Source organism: Homo sapiens, chromosome 2 (assembly GCF_000001405.40).
Source record: "Homo sapiens chromosome 2, GRCh38.p14 Primary Assembly".
In the NCBI taxonomy this organism is placed as follows: domain Eukaryota; kingdom Metazoa; phylum Chordata; class Mammalia; order Primates; family Hominidae; genus Homo; species Homo sapiens.
In genome coordinates this window covers 19,224,250-19,229,852 of record NC_000002.12, presented here as the reverse complement: position 1 = coordinate 19,229,852, position 5,603 = coordinate 19,224,250, and the positions used below count along the sequence as shown (strand labels likewise).

At 42.2% G+C, this 5,603-nt stretch overlaps 2 annotated features.

Moving 5' to 3' along the window:
• Positions 322-1,521: an enhancer, noted in NCBI's record as "MED14-independent group 3 enhancer chr2:19428093-19429292 (GRCh37/hg19 assembly coordinates)". NCBI's record gives its function as "activates an origin of replication core promoter dependent on BRD2, BRD4, P300/CBP and CDK7 cofactors, and independent of MED14, by STARR-seq in HCT116 cells {active_cell/tissue: HCT116}" and the evidence as "EXISTENCE:reporter gene assay evidence [ECO:0000049][PMID:35650434]".
• Positions 691-1,237: an enhancer, noted in NCBI's record as "OCT4-NANOG hESC enhancer chr2:19428377-19428923 (GRCh37/hg19 assembly coordinates)". NCBI's record gives its function as "activates a minimal SCP1, AML or CMV promoter by ChIP-STARR-seq in naive and primed H9 embryonic stem cells {active_cell/tissue: H9 hESC(naive and primed)}" and the evidence as "EXISTENCE:reporter gene assay evidence [ECO:0000049][PMID:30033119]".

Sequence of the window (5,603 nt, the reverse complement as noted above, 5' to 3'; positions counted from 1 at the left end):
CAACCCTTTGTTCATATAGCTGTATTTTAAAAAATTATCCTAAGGATAGATTGAGAGGTGTACACAAAGTGAAACATACCCATGGTCACTTCAGTGAACATTTATAGTATCAAGAAAGATGAAATGAAGCCAGTGATCAACAAGAAGTTTGCACAAATACATACACATATACACAGTGGGACGTTAAGCAGACACTAAGCCCGTATGTGGAAGAGTACGTACAGACGGAGGAAAGTTTTCTTGTGATATTGCTAAGGAAAAAGGCAGGCTACAAAACAGTATTTATTTTTATTTCTTAAAAAATATATTCACAGCTTAAAAAATGGACTTGGGCAAATGTAATATTCACTTGCCCGGAGTGGTAAGACTCCAGGTGACTTTTGTTTTCCCCTTTGTGATTTCCCACTGTCTCTAATCTTTCTGTAATGAGCATGTATTACGTTTGTAGTCAGAAAAAATGTCTAATAAACATCATGTATTAAAGAAGCCAAATCCTGTCCCTGTAGCACTCAGCTCAGGAGTTATGCTGCTTTGTGGCCTCAGTGTCATACAGGATCTCTAGCCTTACAGGATTTCAGAGACTTACCCTCTAAGCTTCTGTCCTGAGGGCTCTGGCACTGGCCCTGAGCAAGTGCATTGGGTTGGAAGATAAGCTGAGTGTCACCTCTCCTGGATACAGGTAGTTACCCTTCTCTGCAAAGCCAGGTGACGGATCTGATCTCATGTACCAGACCCATTTCCCCTGAAGAAACTTCTTCCCCAACCCAGTGGACTGCCTTGTAAAGGGTGTCCCTTGTCTCCACTGGGTGGGCGTCTTTGTGCTACGGGATGTGGTGATTGTCAGCCTTTCCAGGGACTTCCTCAGGTCTTCAGGCAGGAGGCACTAGGCAGGCTAGGACAAGCTTGTGCTTGCCTGAATTTGCCCTGGCAACACTCAGGGCTCGGCTTTGCTCCATTGTCATGCATAAATAGCAGATAATCCTTTCAGAAGTAGGCAGGATTTAAGTCTTATAGTCACCTACCCAGAGGGAGCCATTGGCAGTGCTCAGCCCTCTCTGTGCTGTCTTGCTTAGGATGTGAGGGTGTTGGTTAGATAGGCTCAGTGTTGTAACCAGCAGTCCATGGACTCAGTGATTCTGAAGGGCAGCTGCCTGTCAACCTTTAAAAACATGGTCATCCCACTCTGAGATGACAAGAGCCACTCCTCTAGGTGAGTCCCTTCTATTTGTCGACACCATCTGGTTGGTGCCTGACCCCAGGGGCACTGGCCAAAATGTGGGGCTAGTTTGTGCTCACTCTAGGAGCTGAGGAGAAAGGTGGGCACCCTGAGCTGGAGAAAGGCTGCTTTCACAGTACTATGCCTGGGAGGACAAAACCCTGGACAGATTCAAGTGCAACTGCTTTTGCTCCTCTGACCTTGTGACCTGAATGGGGAAAAGTGCCTCTGTGAGCATTGTCGGCGGGTGGTGCAGGGAGAGGGCAACATTCAAAGCTCTGCTGTGCATGTGTTCCCTTGGTTTTCTTGCCTTTCTTTCTCCCCCTTTGAAATGAAAAATAAAGCCACCTGTCAAAGCTGGTGATATGTTCAGACCTGTAACCCACACAGATTCAGGAAGACTTCAAAGTGGAAACTCCTCGGATCTGATTACATTTCATCACAGATGGTAAATTTATGCCCTGAGCCCCCACCTCTGCTCTGACTTCTGTACTTTAAGCTGGTGAATAGAATATACAGTGGTGTTGTTTGCAGACTAATGAGTTAAATGCCATTTATTCTCTTAAACTTTAGAGACTATCTGGATTTCAACAGAGATGAAAATGAGACTTAGCTTTTTTTGTAGATTCCGGGCTCTGAAAGACATTTGCCTATTAGAAGATAAAACATTCCCTATCAGGGTGTCTGCCAACTTGATAGCACTTTAACTTGTAAAAATGGAAATAAAAATAGTGCATAAGTCACAGGGCTGTTATGAGCAATCATTAAGTTATTATGTGCAAAGCACTAGGAATACCGCCTGAGACAAATTAAGTGTGGTATATGAGTGAGGTATTGTTTTCCTGAGGCATCAGATACAGATGAGGCTGGAAAAAGGAAGGTGAGTCTGTGTGCTGACGATGTATCTGTAACTGTGTATGCCCCCTGTCTAGTAAACTCCACTGGCAGCCACTCCAGGCACACCATGACCTGACTCCAACTTAGCAAAAGGAGAAAGCCCTATGTCACATGGCTTGCTTCTGCAGCAATTTTACTCCAGAAAACACTGTCATGTCGCCTCCTCAGAGAAGACCTACCCAACTTTTGCTGTCTGTTATCTCTGAACTTATATAACACACATATTCAGGGCCATGGAATTTGGTCTTGGGATTGGACTGACTAAAAAAGTGCTGTTATTTGACTTATCCTATGAGGCTCTTTTTACTGCTTCTATGAGAGGAGCCCATGGGGCTTCTCTGTTGTTGCACAGATCTGTCAACTTCTGATTGTTGTTCAAGGCTCAGATAAAAAGCATTTATTAAGAAAAGAGTAGGAATGACTTGGAAGAGATGTTGGGCTCATTTTAGAACGTCTCCCCCCAAGGTTAAGCTGAGTAGCGCAGACCTGGGGAGCACTTCCCCATCCTGGCAAGGGAGAGTCTGTTACCTCATGTGCACAGAGCACTCATTTGTTTTCCAAATGGGTACAGCTAGCCCAGCAGGAGAGAACATTTCCCTCTGGTTCAGGGATGTTCCTTTGTTTCCTGCTCTGTCAGCTGTAAGGTTCAGGCAGCATCACGCCCCCACAGCCTCTCAGGGTACAAGGTGGGAGCTCTGGGTACATGCCTCTAGCTCATGAGTTGTTCCTGCCTGGCTCTTCCTCGGGCTGAGAAAGGATCCAAATGCAGTCTGGTTTGGTATTGAGTAGCTCCTCATGGCCACTTGACTACCGGCTAAAAAGCATCCCTAGAGAGAGCATTTCTAGGCTGTGCTCTTAGAGTAACTAAAGCTGTGTTAGGGGAATGTTTTCACATCAGGGTCCTAAGTTGGCTTTAGACTCCCATTGCTCTCTCCTCCTTTTCCTTTCTTTGTGGCACTTTCTACACAGATTAGAATCCTGTAAACATACTCTTTTAGACAATTGCTATTCCCACTGGCTCTTCAGCCAAGAATAGAGCATTCAACAGACATCTCCTGACTGCAGACTCTGCCCATGATCTCGAAGAAACAAAATAATTGCCGTCATCTTGGAGCTAACAGTCTCGTGGTGCAGACAGATATGTAAAGAGGGCAGAGTCCGTGGCAGTGGAGGTGTGTGCGGGATGGGGAGCTGGAAGGACCATGCTCTCCACAGGCTGCCTTCTCCAGCCTCCTCCAGGGGTGGCTTCCTTGTCTAATGGGAAACCGCCACAGCAGGGACCACCTCAGAAGGTGCCTTGGGGACACATAGATTCACCAGATGTAGACATCTTCTTTTTTGGGATTGATACTGGTATTAACTATGGCCTTCTCTCAGCTTTGAGGCTTTCAGAGAGGCCCTGTATCTCTACACTGAAACTTAGCCTGGTTCTTAATTTATCGGTCTTCTTCTGTGCACCTGGTCTTACTTCTCTCTGATTACCAGGTTAATTTAAACATCAAATGCTCTTAAGTTTTTTTTTTTTTTCTAGACTCCTCACCTTCTTACACCCATCCCAGCCCAACTTGCATGCAGTCTTCATAGCTTACTCATCCATCCTCAGCCTTTGCTTGACTTTTGGGAGGCACTGTCTATACCCTTCCTATAGAAACAGCCACTCCCATCCCAGGCCTGCCTCTGGTGTTGTGGTATCATAATGCCTTCAGTTTAAAATCCTGCTGAAATGCTCAGCACTTGTAAGAGAGCTCTCTTAGATTATGAATAATTTGGAACACAGATTGCTTCCCATATATTTTGGTGCCCCTTTCAAAGTCTAGAACAGTGGATTACGTGTGGTAGTTATTCAATATGTTTCTGTTTCTGATTGCTAATAATTTTACACACCTTATTTCTAAATCTGTCAATAAATACTGCTTGACCATATTACTCTTTCAAAATTAAAACAAACTCCTCACACACTTGTACACACAAGAATTACAATAGTTCCTGTTTATTGAATACTATGTGCCAGGCTGTAGATGACTTACATGCATCATTTTATTTTAACCCTTGTGATAACTCAGCAAAGTAAATATTATCTTTATAGTACAGATAAAGAAACTCTGGTTGTTGCAAGAGCCTGGATGAACGAAAATCTGTATGCCCACTGTTCATTCAATGATGATCTATGCCAATTGCCTAGTGTAAATGCCTCTGCCTGGGGGCAGTGGGATTTGGAAGGGATTTCATGGTGTATGAGAGGACAAGGGATTTTAGGACCCATGAGTCCCCCTGAATTGCAGAATTTTCTTTTTCTCTTTTGCAGTATTAAGCTTTAAGCAAAAGTTACTTTAAATAAAGTGATGACAATAAGAGGGTCATTTGGGTATTTTTACTCATCATGTGACTCAATATGGATTACTCAATATGGATTTAGCACAGCTGTATTTTAATAATCTAAGCCAGATTAAATGGATCCATGTTTGAAATGTGTATTTTATTTAACAATGTGTTACTTGCAGTACTTTAGATACAAGTGGGCTTCTAAGTTCCTGTTGAGGAAGCTGTGTGGATGTTCAATGAGCTACAGTTTTCACAAGATTTGTCTCTTCCAAATCTTATAAAAAAATAAGCTTCAGTAGCTCATGTGTTTCTCAAATAAATGAACACTAATCAAGTCACACAGTTCAGTTCATTTAGTTTTTAAAATAGCTCCATGCTATTTTACTTTAAAAATCTTAAGAGATTTCCTGAAGAGATCATTACCACCAAGTTGGTACTGACTTGTGGAGGCAATAAAACAAATAAAGTCATTAAAAATAATTTGAACAAAAGGAGTAACTTGATATCATGCCGTCTACCTTCGGTTAAAATGACATTTTAAAGTTCTCTTTCATCTTACTCAACAGATCTCTAAAAGAAAAAGATGTGATTAATAAATTATCCTCCATAAATCTTATGATAACTATTATAGTCTTTGGAGAATTATGAATCCACATCTGGAAAAAGTATTTTATATGCTACTGCCTGTAAAGCAGCATGCCATGCATTTTACAAGTGCACATTAGTAAGTAAAAATACGGTATGTTTTTTGTGTTCATCATTTTCCCCTCCAAAAGAAGTGTAAGCCTAGTTTATTTCATAATAAAGAGTGCTAATAAAGTTTATGTGAAGCTTGTTTTCTGCCCTTACTTTGGTGCTGATGCAGTTTTGGTAGGTTATTTGGAATGGGCTCTCTATGAGAACTCAAGGAAGCCTTCACTATAAGCTGACTTGGTTGGTGCCCTTAGAACCCCTGTGTGGGCAGAGGCCAGCTGGTCCAGAAACATCACAGGAGTAAGCAGAACACATAAGAACCACACACTTCACTTTTCTCATGTGCTTTTGAATTTGATCCCTTTTATACTATTTTAAATGCACAAGTCTCAGGAGCTAGTGATTCAAAATGCAAGGTTGGCTCATTTTTTGAATTAGGAATTTGATTAAACTTAAACATTGGTTAAATAAAACG